Genomic DNA, 18,544 nt, shown 5'->3' with positions numbered 1-18,544 from the left:
TCCCTCCCCCGCTTCCTCTCTTCCTCTCTTCCTTCTCCTTCCTTCCTTTTCTCTCTCTTTTTTTTTTTTTTTTTTTTTTTGAGACAGTGTCTCACTCTGTTGTCCACTGGAGTGCAGTGGCACAGTCTTGGCTCATTGCAGCTTTGACCCCCCCCAGGCTCAAGCGATCCACTCACCTCAGCGTCCTAAGTAGCTGGGACTACAGGCATGTGCCACCACAGCTGGATATATATATATATATATTTGGAAGAGATGAGGTTTTCCCATATTGCCCAGTCTGGCATTCTGACTTTTCATGTGAGATTAAAACCTTATTTTTTTCTAGGACATAACCAAACACAATAATATTTGCAGTGGAAGGCTTTGTGGTTTGTGGTGGAAAGACTCTTAGTTGGCCCCACGATCCTTGCCTCCCCTTATGTGATCCTTTCCCCTTAGTGTGGGCAGGATCTGTGGCTCGCTTCTAACTGAAAGAAACAGTAAAGATGATGGGATGTATGTGATTGTGTGTACATGATTGGGGTCATGTTACATAAGATGGTAGCACCCATCTTTCTCCCCCTCCCCCAGTTTAGCTTTGAGGGCGCAGATGGCCATGTTAGAGGACTCTGCATGGCAAGAAATACAGGCAGCCTCTCAGAGCTGAGGGCAGCCTCCAGCCAACAGCCAACAAAAAACTTGAAGCTCTCAGTCCTACGACCTCAAGGAACTGAATTCTGCCATTAACATGAGTGAACTTGGAAGTGAGTCCTTCCCCATCTGAACCCAGGTGAGACTGCAGTCCCTGATGACAGCTCGATTGTAGCCTTTTGAGACCATAAGCAGAGGACCCAGTCAAGCCATGCTCAGACTCCTGCTACTTGGTAAATGTGTATTGTTACAAAACAATGAAACGCTAATAAGGGTATGGCTATTCACACCTTTTCCCCCTAATTTTTAAAATTTATCAATAAAAATTATTATTAAAAAATATAAATAGGCTGGGCGTGGTGGCTCACGCCTGTAATCCCAGCACTTTGGGAGGCCGGGGTGGGCGGATCACCTGAGATCAGGAATTCGAGACCAGCCTGGCCAACATGGTGAAACCCCGTCTCTACTAAAAATACAAAAATTAGCTGGGCATGATGGTGGGCGCCTATAATCCCAGCTACTCGGGAGGCTGAGGCAGGAGAATCACTTGAACCCGGGAGGCGAAGGTTGCAGTGAGCCGAGATCGTGCCACTGCACTCCAGCCTGGGTGACAGAGCAAGACTCCATCTCAACAAAGAAACAAACAATTAAACAAACAAACCAAAAAAATATATAATTTAAATAGCTTCACTCTCCTGTTCACCTGTTCAACTCCTCACTCCTCTTCCCATTCATTAATTGATTCCACATTTATCCACTCTTCACACAGAAGAGTCTGGGCAGCAAATACAGGAAAATCCTTTTGGCTTCAGAGTTTTTTGGGCTTCCAAATTGCAGATAAAGGACTGTGGGCTTTTAGTATATAGCCATAGAATCACTGGGGGATGGAACAAGACACTATTTGTAAAGGCTTGGAACAAGATTCAGCACACAGGAAGGGCTCAATAAATAATAGCTGTTATGGTGATTAGAATTAGAACTCCTGGGGCAGGTCTCTCTGACTGCTCTGTTACTCCTTGCAAGTCACTTCCTTTCTCCGGGCCTCAGTTTCCCCATTTTTAATAGGAGGGCCCCTCAGAGAAGCTCTCAAAAAGAGGGTTGAGCTCCTGTTCTGGAGGTGGCTCTGGACTGGGTGCTCATGAGCTGCAATACGAATTGCTCCTGAGCGAATGGTACACAGTCTGTTTGCGGCCTTAGTTTGTGGCAAGCCTGGGGAAATGGCTTCTCCTTGCCTAATCTCAGGTTCTCTACTGTCAAATGGGGCCAGAAGGTCACTCCCACCTAAACACATGAGAAAAGAGGCAGGACAAGGTGTACTCACTCTGGACTGGGCTTGTTTGTTTTTTAAAATATCATTTGAGGGGAAGAACAGATGCAAGGGTTTGCCTGGCTTCTCCTCATATACACAAAAGAACCCCCCACCACCCTAATCCCAACCCCCATCTCCACCCCAGCACAGAGCAGAGAGGAGTGACTCCTTGTCTCTGGCCTAGTCTTCTGTGCAATTGGAGTGAGGGCTGCAGGTCTTCACCTGCCCAGACCACCACACCCACCTCTGCATTCCCCATTTCTTTTTTTTCCTTATTTATTTATTTATTTTTGAGACAGAGTCTCGTTCTATCGTCCAGGCTAGAGTGCAATGGCACGATCTCGGCTCACTGCAACCTCCACCTCCAGGGTTCCAGCAATTCTCCTGCCTCAGCCTCCCAAGTAGCTGGGATTACAGGCGCATACCACCACACCCAGCTAATTTTTGTATTTTTAGTAGAGATGGGGTTTCTCCATGTTGGCCAGGCTGGTCTGGAACTTCTGAGCTCAAATGATTCACCCCCCTTGGTCTCCCAAAGTGCTGGGATTACAGGCGTGAGCCACTGCTTCCCCATTTCTTATGCAGTAATGATCTCTATCAGTGTTCCTCTCCTACCTCCCCCACCAGACTGTGAGTTCACGCCTAGCACCCTGCGTGTACCTCGATAAATGTGGAATCAATGAACAAATGGGAAGAGGAGTGAGGAGTTTACCAGGTGAACAGGAGAGTCAGACAACACTTTCAGCCTGGGCGTGCACTCAGTTGACAGCCCCACAGATGTTCAGCAGTGGTCAAATTTGAGTACATTTTGAAGACTGAGCCCAGAAACTCATTGAAGGATTAGAGGCAAGGAGGTAGAGATTGGAAAGAGACAAATCAAAGCTTTGTTCATTCATTCATTTTCAATTAGTAATTATTGGTTATTCACTAGGTATCATGTACTGTTTAAAGTGTTTCAGGCACAGTGGCAAACAAAAGAAAAGTCCCTGATTTCAAGGAACTTACATTCTAATTGATGGAGACAAGCAACAAACAAACAAATTAAGATATTACAGAGTGTTAACTGCTAAGAGAAAGGTAAAAGAGGGTGATGTAACAGATTTTTAGGAAGAATACATGTGGCTGAAAACCCAACTCAAAATGGGGTGTCTCATAATATCCAGTCATATGTACCATAATAGCTTTCTAAAATCTTGAAAATTTTGAATTCTGAGAATTGCCTGTCCTCATGCACTTTGAATAGGCTTTATATTACTATCCCCATATTACAGGTGAAAAAATAGAATTACTAAGGAGTCAAGTGATTCATTTTAGGCCAAAATAAGGATTCAGAAGCTGTAGTCAGAGACCAAGCTCTTAGTGACACAGCCTCCGTGGTTCTGAGATTCAAGAGCCTGTGATACTAAGATATCAAGTGTTATCACTGTCATCACAGCAATGCAAGATTGAAGGCAACAGATCCAGGCCCAAAGGTCCTGCAGATGCAATGCTGCTTGCCACCACCATCACCTCCTTCTCGGTCCCTGAAGGGCTTCCCACCTTGTGAGGAAGCTAAAGATTCTAGAGGGGATTAAGGAGAGGCATAGCCTTCGGGGAAGCCACCACCAGGCTCTAACCTATTCAAAACATGCTGCAATTCACTCCCCAAAGCCCCCTCCATTCTTCACACTGCCGCCCAAATGGTATTGAGGTAGGAGGTGGGACTCAACTCCAGACCAGATTGAAGACTGGCTGAAACAGAGAAGCATGGAAAGCACTTCTTCATAAGACACTCCTACCAGTGACGCGACAGTTTACCATTGCTGTGGCAACACCTAGAAGTTAGCACCACTCTCTCTGGCAATGACCTGGAAATTACCACCCCTTTTCTAGAAATTTCTGAATTACCTGCCCCTTGATTTGCATGTAATTAGAAGTGGGTATAAACATGATTAGAGAACTGCCTCTGAGCTGCTCCTCTCAATACACTGCCTATGGGGTAGCTCCGCTCTGCAGGAGCAGTCATGGAGCTGTCACACTGCCACATCAGAAAAGCTGTTTTCTGGCTGGGCATGGTGGCTCACACCGTAATCCCAGCATTTTGGGAGGCCAAGGTGGGAGAATCAGCTGAGGTCAGGAGTTCGAGACTGGCCTGGACAACATGGTGAAACCCCATCTCTACTAAAAATACAAAAAATATCCAGGCGTGGTGGGGAGCACCTATAATCCCAGCTTATTGGGAGGCTGAGGCACGAGAATTTCTTGAACCCAGGAGGTGGAGGCTGCAGTGAGCTGAGATCATGCCACTGTACTCCAGCCTGTGTGACAGAGCGAGACCATGTCTCAAAAACAAACAAACAAACAAACAAACCTGTTTTCTACTATCAGCTCACCCTTGAATTATTTCCTGGGTAAAGCCAAGGACTTCCCCAGGCTAAGCCCCAATTTTGGGGCTCACCTGTGTTGCACGGGTATCATTCCCCTTCTTTAAAACTTCAATACTGTCATTTCATTTTGAATAAGATTCAAAGTCAGGTGTGCAAGTGAGTGTGTGTGTCTGTGTGTGTGTGTTGCTTCTTCACAGCCCTGATGCATCAAAGTTAGTTTGGGTTTTTTTGTTGCTATGTTTTTTTAGAGATAAGGTCTTTCTCTGCTCTGTCAAAGACTTCAGGAAGAAAAAAAGAAAAAGAGGGCCTCACTCACTCTGTTGTCTAGGCTACAGTGCAGTGGCATGATCATAACTCACAGCAACCTCAAACTCCTGGGCTCCAGGGATCCTCCCACCTCAGCTATGACTACAAGCATGAGCCACCATGCCTGAATCAGACAGTTTGTTTGGGGGTTTTTTTTGTCTTTTTTTTTTTTTTTTTTTTTTTAAGATGGAGTCTGGCTCTGTTGCCTGGGCTGGAGTGCAGTGGCACGATCTCGGCTCACTGCAACCTCTGCCTCCCAGGTTCATGCCATTCTCCTGCCTCAGCCTCCCAAGTAGCTGGGACTACAGGTGCCCGCCACCAAACCTGGCTAATTTTTTGTATTTTTAGTAGAGATGGGGTTTCACTCTGTTAGCCAGGATGGTCTCCATCTCCTGACCTCATGATCCGCCCACCTCGGCCTCCCAAAGTGCTGGGATTACAGGTGTGAGCCACCGCGCCTGGCTTCTTTTTTTTTGAGACGGAGTCTCACTCTGTCACCCAGGCTGGAGTGCAGTGGCACAATCTTGGCTCACTGTAACCTCCACCTCCCGGGTTCAAGCAATTCCCCTGCCTCAGCCTCCCAAGTAGCTGGGACTTCATGTGCACGCCACCACACCCGGCTAATTTTTGTATTTTTAGTAGAGACAGGGTTTCACCATGTTGGTCAGGCTGGTCTCGAACTCCTGACCTCAAGTGATCTGCCTACCTCAGCCTCCCAAAGTGCTGGGATTACAGGCATCAGTCACTGCACCCAGCTGTTTTTTTTTTTTTTTTTTTTTTTTGAGACAGAGTCTGGCTCTGTCACTCAGGCTGGAGTGCAGTGGTGCCATCTTGGCTTACTACAACCTCTGCCTCTGAGGTTGAAGAGATTCTTGTGTCTCAGCCTTCCGAGTGGCTGGGATTACAGGCACCTGCCACCACATGCCAGGCTACATTTTGTATTTTTAGTAGAGATGGGGTTTCGCCATGTTGGCCAGGCTGGTCTCAAACTCCTGACCTCAAGTGATCCACCTGCCTCAGCCTCCCAACGTGCTGGGATTACAGGCGTGAGACACCAGGCCTGGCCCAAAGACAGTTTTTTGATCGTCAAGGTTTTACCTGATTTGGGCCCAGGCTCAGCCAATCCCATTTCCTCCTACTCCCTGCTCCATTCAGCCACACTGACCTCCTTCTGTCCTTCAAATGCTATCAAGCACATTTTTACTTCAGTGCCTTTCTTTTCCCTCTGTCTCTAAATCTCTGCATAGCTGCCTCCTTTTTAATCCTCAGATCTCAGCAGAAGTGTCACAGCGTCAGAGAAGCCTTCCATGACCACCTGAGCAAAAATAAATCTCTCTCTTTCTCTCAATCCGTCCTCCCCATCTTGTTCTTTATAGTTCGTATCTCCATATGCTGTTTTGTTTGTGTGCTTTTCTATCTCTCACACTAGAGTGTAAGCTCCTAGAGGACATATTCATGTACTGATACATCCCACCTGGTATATAACAGGTATTAAATATTTGTTTGAATGAATGTAAGTAATGGGGTTTGAAAGTCTGATTATCTGACAGAAATACCAGGCATTTGATTCCATTGCAATAACCAGTAATTGTGAGTTAGGAATTACATAACTTTCTAAAAATAAAAATAACAAGTGAAGCTAATCAAAAAAAGATGGTGGTTTAAGCTGTCATTGCGCTGGCTCCCAGCATCTTAGTGAAAGACCACAATTGTCATCCCTCTCACTGTTATGAAACTATAATAGGCTGGGCACAGTGGCTCGCGCCTGTAATCCCAGCACTTTGGGAGGCTGAGGCGGGAGGATCACCTGAGGTCAGGAGTTGAAGACCAGCCTGGCCAACATGGTGAAACCCCATCTCTACCAAAAATACAAAAAAAATTAGCTGGGCTTGGTGGTGGGCTCCTATAATCCCAGCTACTTGGGAGGCTGAGGCAGGAGAATCACATGAACCCAGGAGGCGGAGATTGCAGTGAGCCAAGATCACACCACTGCACTCTAGCCTGGGCGAGAGTGTGAGACTGTCTCAAAAAAAAAAGAAAAAAAGGAAACTATAATAATTATTATTTTGGCTCAGATGAAGCTATTCTTATTAATTTTCAAAATGTTTTTGATATTTAATCCCTTTACCAAAAAAATCAGTAATCTGTTGATGAGTTACTTATTTTCTAATTTCTCTCCTTCTCTACTCTAGGCTCTGAGAAGCTGACTTTTATTGATCGCATAAACGGGGATGCTTTGAGCTCTAACTTCTGGTTGGCTGAAGCAATGACAGCCGACAGCAGGACATCAAAAAGGGGATGAAGAATGGAGCTTGAAGGGTATTCCTGTAGCCCCTTCCTGGCTGGATCACAACAGGCTGGCTAGGTTGCCTTATCAAACTGAAACCGCCTTTGCAAAATTATCACTGAGACGGTGAAAGAGTTTTAACTTAACCGACTCCATCTTGCTTCTAACCTCCTTGTTCGTTCAGCATAGGCTGAACTAACTTTGAGAGAAACTTATAGTTTAAAACAAAGATGATAACAGCCCTTTCCCAAAGCACACCTCCTTCTTGCCTGGGGACTAGATTCCCTTTGTAGGACTAACATTAGCTACAAGATTAGAAATTATGGTTTAAGAGTCATGCAACTAGAGGCTTCAAGATTTTCTTCAAATATCTCAGTGCTTGAGATATTTTCCAGACCCTGCAATTGCCGGATCAGCTGGCACCACCCAGATGGATAAACTGGCTAATCTGATCTTGTGGCTCCCACCCAGGAAGTGACTCAGCACAAGAAGACAGCTTCAACTCCCTATGATTTCATTTCCGTCCTGACCAATCAGCACTCCCGGGTCACTGGCTTCCCCCAACCCACCAATTTATCCTTAAAGATTCTGCTCCTGGCTGGGCGTGGTGACTCGCACCTGTAATCCCAGCACTTTTGGAGGTTGAGGTGGGTGGATCACCCGAGGTCAGGAGTTCGAGACCAGCCTGACCAACATAGTGAAACCCCGTCTCTATTAAAAATACAAAATTAGCCGGGCGTGGTGGCACATGCCTGTAATCTCAGCTACTTGGTAGGCTGAGGCAGGAGAATCACTTGAACCCAGGAGGCAGAGGTTGCAGTGAGCCAAGACAGCGCCACTGCACTCCAGCCTGGGTGACAGAGCAAGACTCTGAAAAAAAAACACAAACAAAAAAAAACTCTGCTCCCCAAATGCTTGGGGAGACTGATTTGAGTAATAATAAAACTGTCTCCCGCACAGCTGGCTCTGTGTGAATTACTCTTTCTCTATTGTAATTCCCCCGTCTTGATGAATCAGTTCTTTCTAGGCAGGGGGCAAGGTGAACCCCTTAGGCGGTTACAAATTCAAAGGCCACAGTTCCTTTCAGGTGGCTTCACCTGTGGTCACTCTGGCAAGGTTTTGGTTTTGCCCTCCAGGACCAGAAGAGGTAAGGTCTTCCTGCTATTGTAGCGCTATGGTATTGAACTACCTTTACCCTTGCTCTGCCCTAACTCTGTCCACACCTTTGGGAACAGCTCCTTTATTAACATCTCCTTGCTTCTCCTGTTTGAACTTGCCCAACTCTTAACCTGCTTGGATCCTGAGTCATCCATTGTATGACTCAGACTCCTGAGAATTTGAAAGTCACAGATCTCTAACCTAGAAACAAAGCAAGTGTTTCTAGCCAATGGGAAATTTCAACAATGTATAACAATCCATGAGCATGGGCACTGTTATTTCCAATTTGGAGTGTGATATTATAAAACAAGCTATGAAAAGAAACTAAATAAAAAGACGTGTTATTTTCTCAAAGGACACTTGGAGAGTTAAGAGCAATCCTATTTGAAAATAACCTACACATGGTAGGATAATAAAGTAGGGGCTCACTTGGCTTAGCTCCGTTCTGTTCTTGTGAAAGCACACATTCATATAAATAAGATATACTTGTTTTATATATATTTATTGTATTTTAAAACATGGGTCCACATACAGCTCATATATTACATTATGAATTAACAGCATGATTTAAGAAAAGTAATTTTGTTAATTATTTTTATAAAACAAACCCAGAGGCCGGGTACGGTGGCTCACGCCTGTAATCCCAGCACTTTGGGAGGTCGAGGTAGGTGGATCACAAGGTCAGGAGTTCGACACCAGCCTAGCCAATATGGTGAAACCTCGTCTCTACTAAAAATACAAAAAAAAAAAAATTAGCCTGGCATGGTGGCACATGCCTGTAATCCCAGCTACTTGGGAGGCTGAGGCGGGAGAATTGCTTGAATCCGAGAGGCAGAGGTTGCAGTGAGCCGAGATTGCGCCACTGCACTCCAGCCTGGAGTAAAGTAAAACAAACCCACAGCAACAATCTATGATAACGTTTACTTTGTATGGTAGCTATGGTAGGAAGTGGAGGAGATTCTGAGCTAGAGGAAACTATATTAAAGTGGGCACAGCAAACAGAGAGGAGAAAAGGAAAATATCTTGCCCTTAGCCTAACCCTGCCTACAAATCACTTACCATACACTAGAAAAGACTTTCATTCCCAATAACTTTGCATTCAAAGATAAACCATGAATAGCGGGAACCTCCTAAAAGCCTTGACTAACGGGAAATCCTAAAAGCTTTGCCTCCAGAGATAAGCCACAAAAACAAGAACATCCTGTTTTCCTTACCACAAAACAGGAACATCTTGTTCTTATCCAATTGGAATGAACTGCCATATCTGAGCTATAAATATCTGCCATTTCATCTGAGCTATAAATTCCTCTATTCTATTTAGCGAGCCACTCTCTGAAAGTCTGATTTTCTTGAACTGCAAGTAAAAATGTCTCTCTGTGCTCATATTTGTCTTTGATTTTTATTTTGACATAGGGTTCCTGAACTGATTTTTGGGGGGGGGAATCCTGAAGTTGGACGCACCCAGGGCTGGCTTCATGGGTGGGCAAAATGTGCAGTCACACGGGCCCCACTCTGGGTTTAGTGCTCTGCTATCACCATCTTAAAATTCGTAATTTCTTTGTTTTTTTTGAGGTAGAGTCTCACTCTTGTTGCCCAGGCTGGAGTACAGTGGTGTGATCTCGGCTCAGTGCAACCTCCGCCTCCTGGGTTCAAGCAATTCTCCTGCCTCAGCCTCCTGAGTAGCTGGGATTACAGGCACCTGCCACCACGCCCAGCTAATTTTTTTGTACTTTTAGTAGAGTTTCTCCATATTGCCCAGGCTGGTCTCGAACTCCTAACCTCAGCTGATCCGCCCACCTTGGCCTCCCAAAGTGCTGGGATTACAGGCGTGAGGCATGTGCATTTTAGCTTTCTAGATCAGGTGAGGGCACATGGACAAATGGCTCAAGGGTCAAATCCAGTCCACTGTCTGTTTTTGTATAGCTTGCAACTTAAGGATGGCTTTTACATTTTTCAGTGGCTGAAAAAGATCAAAAGATGAGTATTTCATGACAGTTGAAAATTACATAAAATTCAAACTTCAGTGTTTAGGATAAGGTTTTATTGGAACAGAGACCCACCCATTCATACTGTCTATGGCTAATTTTAAGATACAAGTTGAATAGCTGTGACCAAGCCAGCATGACCCACAAAACCTAAAATATTTCTTGTTTGGCTCTGGGAAGCTAAAAGACAACAAAGAAAGAATTCTCCAAAGATACTGAGTTTCTTTGGGAGTGAACAAAAAGAATTATAATCCAAGATGTACAGCTATGGCAAGCCACGGGTCTGGAGAAGGGAAGAATAGGGGGAAGATTTTACTGGTAAAGGAGGGAAGTTCACATAAACTCTTGGAAACTAAGTTGATTGGTTCCCAAGGCTCAAATCAAGAATTGGAGTCCGTTCATTGGTGGAGGTCCTGCTGCTGGGCCAAACGTCCTTTCGACAGTATCTTATCTGAACTGCTGCAGTTTTAAAGAATATTTAGCAATAAATCTTGTCATAGAAATGTGCGCATATTTGCAAAACAAGCAAGTTGTGCAAAACATTAAATGCATGAAAGATGTGAAGAAATTGTGGGTTTTTTGGTTTATTTTTTAAAGTCCTTGAGGCAGTTCGTTCTTTCTTTTTTTTTTTTTTTGAGACGGAGTCTTGCTCTGTCGCCCAGGCTGGAGTGCAGTGGCACGATCTCGGCTCACTATAACCTCCTCCGAGTTCAAGCGATTCTCCTGCCTCAGCCTCCTCAGTAGCTGGGATTACAGGCGCCCGCCACCACACCCAGTTTTTTTTTTTTTTTTTTGTATTTTTAGTAGAGACGGGAATTTCACCACGTTGGCCAGGCTGGTCTCAAACTCCTGACCTCGTGATCCGCCCGCCTCGGCCTCCCAAAGTACTAGGATTACAGGTGTGAGCCACCGCGTCTGGCCTTGAGACAGTTCTTATCTCAGACATACAAGCATGAGTTTCCTTCCTTTCTGGTCTCTAGGCTCCAATTTGTCTGGGTCTGACAATAGTTACTTCTCCTGGAATCTGCAACTTTCAGAGCACTTTATGGAAAAAGTCGGCCAACCCCTGCCCTACACTCACTCTTGATCACTCTCCAGTGTAGCCATCCCAAACTATTTGCAGACCACCCTTTTCTCTCTGATCTGTATCCCACCCCCATGGGTGCTTCCATAGAACTAACCCCATCTAAGCATTTAACAGTTATTCTAATTGCCCTTTTACTTGTCTGACCCAAGTGTTCGCCACTCAATCCTCAGCACCCAGCACGATCCCTAGCCCTCGTTCAGCGCTTAATAAATCCATGTTGATTCAATGTGTAGCATCCTGAACAGGCAACAGCAGTGGGTTCCAACTTTCAAGGAGCTTAAAAAAGGAACTCAGCATACAAACAACAGACTAATCTACAAGGAAGAATGAGGGGGGTGGAGGGAGCACTAAAAAGCAGCAAGTACTCTGCAGCAGAACCAAAGATAAAATTCCACCTAAAGGTGCCCTTTCTTCAGGATCCTTCCTAATTTGAATACAGGTTCCCTTCTCCTCCATGACGAAATTCTTAGTGAGGTTACTTGTTGGTACGCAGTGTCCTCATCTGTAAAATAAGGCTAAATAATTACGATTTCACCGGATTATAATGAATATGGTTAAGTATTGAACTAAGGCCTAGAAAGCACGTAGCTCAGTGCACGCTTCCTAGAAAGTGCTCAGTAAACTCGGATCCTCTAACACGCTCCGTTTGATGTTAATGGAGTCCGTATCCGAGCGGGTCTCCAGTGTGCATCGCCAAGGGTATGGCCCAGCATCCAACGCATCCTTTTAGTAAGAGTAGCGACTTCTCAGCGCTCCCTTCGCCCCAGGAGAGTTCTCGGCTCGCGGCGTCGCGGCGGGGCTGCGCGCTGGGCTGAACTCCCAAGAAACCTCCTGCAGCTGAACCGGAGCAGACGCCCGCCAGGTGAAAGAACTACAACTCCCGTCACGTTGCATCCGAGTTTAGGGCCTCTTTATAGTTTATCACACCCAGCCTCTTCCGCGCAGCCCTCAGTGGCTCCGCCCCAAAGGGGGCTCTCTTCTTTCCTTGTGGAGTCCGAAGCGTGGCCACGCCCCGGTCACCGGAAAAATCCGTGTGACGTCACAAAAACCTACGCGTCGCGCGGTGGGCGGGAGTTGGCGGACGGTCCCTGGCTGGGTTCTGGAGGCCCTGGGACCGCGGAAGAGGCTTCAGACGCTGCAGCGATGCCTCGCCCACGGCGGGTCAGTCAGCTCCTGGATCTGTGAGTCTACCCTGTCCCGCCTCCCTTCGCGCCGCCCCAGCACCTCCTCCAAACGGCCAGGCCCTGCGCTGCTCTTCCTCCCCGCCCCTTTCCCACCCCCCCCGCCGACCTCTGAAGAGGCCCCGCGTGTGTTTCTGTCCCTGGGTTCCTGATCTGTCGTTTCCTGGCTGAGGACAGTTGTGCAAAGTGGGTCTCTTGGCGGGCTTGCCCCTCCAACACTCCGCTGCGCGATGAGCGTCCATTCCTCCGTCAGCCTTGACAGCTCGGCGCCCCGGCTGTTACTGGCAGTGGCCTCTCTCTTAGCAGCTAAAAGCCTTGGTAGAAAAAAACACAACGCTAGATGAGGTTCTCAAAAGCTTCTAGCAGAATTCCACCCCTGTAACTGGAATAAACATTGACAGACCCTGGGATAAAGGTAACAAAGTGGTTAAGACCACGGATCCCTGGCTGAGATTGCTGGGTTCAGCCCCCGGCTCTGCCATTCACCAGCCACGTGACCATGGACCGGTAACGTAACCTCTCCCTGTGCCTAGGTTCTTTATCTATAAAATTTTTGTGATAATAGCACCCATCACATGGAGTTGTCCTGAGGGATAAATTTAAAACATGTAAAACCCTTATAAGGATGCCCAGCAAATAATAAACACCACTAAGTGTTATTGTTATTATTATTTCCTACCAGAAATTGTACGGAAATGGAAGTTACAAGGGCAATTGCGTCTCTCCAGGAGCTTTCAGTCCGTTAATATTGCCATGTAAAAAATAGACATCTTAAGGATAAGGAGAACAATCTCCTTAATCTACTGAAGGCTTTCTGAAACAATGGCATCTGATATTTTACATTAAACTTGGGAGGCCGAGGTGGGAGAACTGCTTGAGCTCAGGAGTTCGAGACCAGCCTGGGCAACGTGGCGAAACCCCGCCTCTACTAAAGATACAAAAATTATCTGGGCACGGTGGTTCACGCCTGTAATCCCAGCACTTTGGGAGGCCGAGGCACTTGAGATCAGGAGAGTTGGAGACCAGCCTAGCCAGCACGGCAAAACCGCGGCATGTACTAAAAATACAAAAATTAGCCAGGAGTAGTAGTGGCGCCGGTAGTCCCAGCTACTCTGGAGGCTGAGGCAGGAGAATCGCCTCAACCCAGGAGGCAGAGGTTGCAGTGAGCTGAGATCGCGCCACTGCACGCCTAGGCTGCTAGGCGACAGAGCGAGACTGTCTCAAAAAAATAAAATAAATAACTATAATATATGTAGAATAATATCACAAGCGGGAGAGTAACAAACTTTTGAAATTTCTAATAAGGAAAAGAATAGGAGAAAGCTTTGTCAAGGGGGTTATTTTTGAACATTGGTAGTATCTGACGGTTGCAAATGGGAGGAAATGTATCGTAGAGAGTGAAATAAAAAGAGTAAAGGTTTGACAGGCAGGAAAGGTAGAAATATGAGAGAAGACCAGAAAGTAGCGCTCCAATGTGAATGGAAGATACAATATGAATAGCACAGTAGTGAGACATAAAGCCAGGTCATTGGGAATAGAATCTTAGGGACCAGGATGAAGTAAGAGCATTTCCTCTTTCAGTCATGGGGAGCTATCAAAGGTTTTAGAACTGTACTGTGAGCAGAGAGAGATTTGAATTAGGCAGAAGTTGGAAATAGGGAGACACTTAGAAGACTGTTACAAAATCTTAAGAGGTGAAGAGCCCAAACCAGGAGACACATGAAGATGTTCTTTGCAGAATTATTTCTGGTGGCATGGAGCTGGAATGGGAGAGTTACCATGGAATATTATGCAGCTGTTAGAAAAGCAAAGGGTAGGCCAGGCATGGTGGCTCACACCTGTAATCCCAACATTTTGGGACCCTGAGGAGGGTGGATTGCTTGAGGCCAGGAGTTGGAGACCAGTCTAGGCAACATGGCAAAACCATGTCTCTACCAAAAATAAAAAGTTAGCCAATCTCATAACCTGGTCTCAAAATAAATAAATAAATAGATAAATAAATGAAAGAAAAGCAAAGAGTAGATTCATTTGGATAGAATTTTAAAACACAGTGCTTAGTGAAAAAAAGAGGAAACAGACTAACAATGTTAAGAAAAATTCTTCAGAACTTGGGGCTAAGACAGGGATGACTACATGATCTTCATTGTCATGCTAGAGTGTGGTCCCTAGGTAAAGGTCCATATTTGCCCTTAGAACCTAATTTTGTACCCTTCTGGGACAAGGTACAGTCTGAGACTGGCAGTTGGTCAGCAAGCTATTTCTGGTTTGTAACAAAGTAAGAAGCTTGAGCCAGACTAGTAATTAAGTGTGTCACTAAGCACATTATTTAGTCCAGCTGATGAGGCTTTCTCCATGAAGGAAACAGGGCTTGGTTTATGTTCTTGCATAAACTCCTTATCTCCTCACTGACCAGCACTTTAACACTGCTTTAGAGAATCCTTTGGATCTGGGACATGAATAGTTTTGAATAGAGGGACCGAGGAAAGAGAAGAATTAGAAATTACTCTTTTAGTTGGGGGCCGTGGCTCACGCCTGTAACCCCAGCACTTTGGAAGGCTGAGGCAGGTGGATCACCTGAGGTGGGGAGTTCGAGACTAGTCTGACCAACATGGAGAAACCCTGTCTCTACTAAAAATACAAAATTAGCCGGCCGTGGTGGTGCATGCCTGTAATCCCAGCTCCTTGGGAGGCTGAGGTGGGAGAATCGCTTGAACCTGGGAGGCAGAGGTTGCGGTGAGCCGAGCTTGCACCATTGCACTCCAGTTTGGGCAACAAGAGCGAAACTCCGTCCCCCCAAAAAAAAAAAAAAGAAATTACTCTTTTAGTTTTAGCTTCGTTGACAGGTAGAATGGTGATTAGACTATTATGGAGGAAGAAGTGTCTTACGGGGAAAATGAATCAGAATATCCAGTAGAAATATCAAGCAGGCAGTTAGAATATAATTTTGAATCTGAAAGAAAGATCAAGGATTAGGCTGGGTGCAGTGGCTCATGCCTGTAATCCCAACACTTTGGGAGGCCGAGGCAGGTGAATCACTTGAGGTCAGGAGTTCGAGACCAGCCTAGCCAACATGGTGAAACCCTGTCTCTACCAAAAATACAAAAAAAATTAACTGGGCATGGTGGTGCACATGTGTATTCCCAGCTACTTGGGAGGCTGAGACAGGAGAATTGCTTGAACCCAGGAGGCGGAGCTTGGAGTGAGCCAAGATGGTGCTACTGCACTCCAGCCTGGGCAACAGAGTGAGACTCCATCTCTAAATAAATAAATACATAAATACACAAATAAAATGAAGAGAGATCAAGGATTGAAACTAAGATTGGGGGTATAACTTTGTAGATGATAGGAAGCCATGGTTAAGTTTAAAAGAGGGCTATAGAGAGAAAAAAAGAAAGTCAAGGACAAAATTTTATGTAACACTTACATTAGAAGCAGTCCATGTTGCCAAAACTCTTTTATTTGTTAGATCAATTCACCATATGATGATTTGGCCAAATAGTAATAGGTTGTTTCTTTTAAGTATAAAACGTAGAGCAACTATTATTGGTTGGGATATCCACCCGTCTCCCCAATTGTTTTACAGCTTTTAAAGATTATAAGTTTTAGCTGACTTCTTTTCATTTTGTCTTGAGAAATGAGACTGCCTGTGCCAACTGTGGGGCCTGAGAATCAACACCACTTATGTCAACCTAACTTTTTGCTCTAGGAAATTTTTGCAAATCAGTTTATCTAAATAAACAGCTATCAGGACAAACATTTTGATTTTTAGGACAAACATTATGTTTATCTGGACAGATTGCTCATCAAGCCTGGCTTTTTGTGTCCATCCGTTTTAAACTAAGTCACAAACTTTGCCTAATCCTTACCCATTCGCCACTGTGGGGGGAGAAGCACCCACTTAAACTGGTGGCGTTTATATCCCAGAAACTTATGTATACTCTTGCCTAACATTCCTCTATTGAAATGCTACCAAAACCCTGTCAAGATGATCTCCCTTGCTGTAGTAAATGTAATACATGATTTGACAAATTTAATCAATTTGTTTGACCAGCAGGGTTTCTGGATGGGCTTTGTGGCCATTCAATAGTCCTCCCAGAATTTTAAGAACTATTTGATTTGTTTCTGTCCCAACTCCCTGCTATTGCAGCTGGAGGGAACTGGAGCAGAAAGAGGAAACCATTTACTTTGGGAAACACATGGTACAGCCTCTGCACTGCTGAGCTCAGAGAAGAGCATACTAAAGGGCTAAGATGAAAGAGACTGAGAGAAAAAGGTGGCGGTGGGGGGCAGAGAGCCATGTTGTAGGAAAAAGGTAACATATTGAAATATACCTGAAATCTTGCATAAAGCAAAATACAGTAGTCTCTCCTTATGTGCTGTTTTGTTTCGGCAGTTTCAGGTACCTGCAGTCAACCATGGTAAAAAAATATATATATATGTTAAATGGAAAATTCTAGGAAGAAACAATTCATAAATTTTAAATTATGCACCATTTTGAGTAGCATGATGAAATCTCATGCCACCCTGCCCTGTCTGCCCAGGATGTGAATTCTGCCTTCGTTCAGCATATCCATGCTGTCCATTTAGTAGCCTTCTTGGTTATCAGAGCTATTGTCGCAGGGCTACTGCATTCACATAACCCTGATATTACTTAACAATTGCACCAGAGCACAAGAGTACTGATGCTGGCATATTGTTACATGTATTTTTTATTTTTCCACCCAATCCTTGTAGATGTTGTTATAACTGTTCTATTTTATTGTTGTTGTTGTTCATCTCTTACTGTGCCTAATTTATATATTAAACTTTACCACAGGTATGTCTGCATAGTAAATGCAGGGTGTATATATAGGATTTAGGATTCAGTACTATCCATGATTTCAGGTGTCCACAGGGAGTCTTAGAATGTTTTTCCCATGGATAAAGGGGATCTGCTATATAACAGGAGTGATTGTCAGTCACTTCAAATGCTTTACTTTTCTCTAATCCCCTACTCACAGAGGTCATGTGCAAGAGGAACAAGAGCATTTTTATAAAGTTTACACAGACTTACCTTGTTTCCTTGCTTGACTGGTGTGGGTCACTGTAGGGGTACTTGGTGAGCAGTATCCTCAACCAAGTGGTAGTTATCTTTGTTATCTAGGGCAGGAGTTGGTAACCTTTCTGTGAAGGGCCAGAGAGTAATATTTTCAGCTTTGTAGGCTACACACCCTCTGACACAGTTACTCAGCTCTGCCATTGTAGAACACAAGCAGCCACAGACAACACATAAAGAAATGGCAGCAGCCTGAGGATGATAAGGGGTGTGAAACATCTGTTGAATACCTTGACTATCGGCTCATTGTTGAGCAACCTTTGCAGTAAAAGACCTATCATTGTCAGAGTGAAAGTGGTCTGCTTTGGGAGGCCGAGGCGGGTGGATCACGAGGTCAGGAGATCGAGACCATCCTGGCTAACATGGTGAAACCCTGTCTCTACTAAAAATACAAAAACTTAGCCGGGCATAGTGGCGGGCGCCTGTAGTCTCAGCTACTCAGGAGGCTGAGGCAGGAGAATGGTGTGAACCCAGGAGGCGGAGCTTGCAGTGAGCCGAGATCGCAGTGGTCTGGAAAACCAAAAACATAACACACTTTGATCAGTGTGGCTGGAGTTGGTTGATCAGACTGAAACCATGAAACCATAACCTGAAAAAATGTCAACAACTGTAACACATTAACAATAGCCCCAGGGGTGGTGTGTGTGTGCGTGTGTGTTTGTGTGTGTGTCAGTCAAAGGCAGTGTTCCAATAAAATTTGATTTCTTTCTTGTTTTTTGAGACGAGGTCTCACTCTGTTGCCCAGGCTGGAGTGCAGTGGCCCGATCTCAGCTCACTGCAACCTCTGCCTCCCAGGTTCAAGTGATTCTCCTGCCTCAGCCTCCCAAGTAGCTGGGATTACAGGCATGCACTACCACACCTGGCTAATTTTTTGTATTTTTAGTAGAGACAGGGTCTCACCAGCTTGGCCAGCCTGGTCTTGAGCTCCTGACTTCAGGTGATCTGCTTGCCTCAGCCTCCCAAAGTTCTGGGATTACAGGTGTGAGCCACCGTGCCAGGCGTAAAACTTGATTTCTGAAAACTAGCAGCTGGCTACATTTGTCCCACAGGTCATAGTTTGCTGACCCCTGATCCAGGTTTCAGTACAACAAGAGAATCCAGGTGGCTGAACCAGAATTAAGTTTGAATTTCCTAAGTTCC

General features: G+C 45.2%; 1 protein-coding gene and 2 long non-coding RNA genes across 8 annotated transcripts in view, besides 6 other annotated features; 1 reads left to right on the top strand and 2 right to left on the bottom strand.

The window, feature by feature from the left end:
• Positions 6,861-8,060: an enhancer, noted in NCBI's record as "MED14-independent group 3 enhancer chr12:31886154-31887353 (GRCh37/hg19 assembly coordinates)". NCBI's record gives its function as "activates an origin of replication core promoter dependent on BRD2, BRD4, P300/CBP and CDK7 cofactors, and independent of MED14, by STARR-seq in HCT116 cells {active_cell/tissue: HCT116}" and the evidence as "EXISTENCE:reporter gene assay evidence [ECO:0000049][PMID:35650434]".
• Positions 8,094-8,321: a transcriptional cis regulatory region, noted in NCBI's record as "candidate enhancer chr12.953 targeted for multiplex CRISPR interference". NCBI's record gives its function as "positively regulates DENND5B gene expression with high confidence in K562 cells {active_cell/tissue: K562}" and the evidence as "EXISTENCE:mutant phenotype evidence [ECO:0000015][PMID:30612741]".
• AMN1-AS1 (AMN1 antisense RNA 1) lies at positions 10,076-12,015 on the bottom strand. Its single transcript, NR_198987.1, has one exon. It is a non-coding gene; the product is annotated as an AMN1 antisense RNA 1 (long non-coding RNA).
• Positions 11,346-11,978: an enhancer, noted in NCBI's record as "H3K27ac hESC enhancer chr12:31882236-31882868 (GRCh37/hg19 assembly coordinates)". NCBI's record gives its function as "activates a minimal SCP1, AML or CMV promoter by ChIP-STARR-seq in naive and primed H9 embryonic stem cells {active_cell/tissue: H9 hESC(naive and primed)}" and the evidence as "EXISTENCE:reporter gene assay evidence [ECO:0000049][PMID:30033119]".
• Positions 11,751-11,950: an enhancer, noted in NCBI's record as "active region_6175". NCBI's record gives its function as "activates an Ori minimal core promoter by ATAC-STARR-seq in GM12878 lymphoblastoid cells {active_cell/tissue: GM12878}" and the evidence as "EXISTENCE:reporter gene assay evidence [ECO:0000049][PMID:35858748]".
• Positions 11,991-12,340: an enhancer, noted in NCBI's record as "active region_6174". NCBI's record gives its function as "activates an Ori minimal core promoter by ATAC-STARR-seq in GM12878 lymphoblastoid cells {active_cell/tissue: GM12878}" and the evidence as "EXISTENCE:reporter gene assay evidence [ECO:0000049][PMID:35858748]".
• Positions 12,106-18,544, top strand: part of AMN1 (antagonist of mitotic exit network 1 homolog) — a 58,038-nt gene continuing 51,599 nt past the window's right edge. For 3 of the 6 annotated variants that reach the window (NR_103522.2, NM_001113402.2, NM_001278412.2), the window contains exon 1: positions 12,259-12,309. Coding sequence is in view for 1 of the 6 variants with exons in the window: in NM_001113402.2 (NP_001106873.1) it covers positions 12,272-12,309 (38 nt within the window). In the remaining 5 variants the exon portion in view is untranslated. Of the gene's footprint in view, positions 12,310-18,544 lie in introns of all 6 variants that reach the window. The other 3 variants (NR_103523.1, XM_017018965.3, NM_001278411.2) reach the window with 2 other exon arrangements.
• On the bottom strand, positions 12,390-17,491 carry LOC105369722 (uncharacterized). The gene is made up of 3 exons (XR_931497.3): positions 17,363-17,491; positions 16,641-16,712; positions 12,390-12,623 (listed from the first exon to the last, which is right to left on the bottom strand). It is a non-coding gene; the product is annotated as an uncharacterized LOC105369722 (long non-coding RNA).
• Positions 12,391-12,470: a silencer, noted in NCBI's record as "silent region_4329". NCBI's record gives its function as "represses an Ori minimal core promoter by ATAC-STARR-seq in GM12878 lymphoblastoid cells {active_cell/tissue: GM12878}" and the evidence as "EXISTENCE:reporter gene assay evidence [ECO:0000049][PMID:35858748]".

This window comes from Homo sapiens, chromosome 12 (assembly GCF_000001405.40).
Source record: "Homo sapiens chromosome 12, GRCh38.p14 Primary Assembly".
NCBI classification, from domain to species: domain Eukaryota; kingdom Metazoa; phylum Chordata; class Mammalia; order Primates; family Hominidae; genus Homo; species Homo sapiens.
Note: the sequence above shows the minus strand (reverse complement) of the source record. Positions and strands in the feature narration are given on the sequence as shown.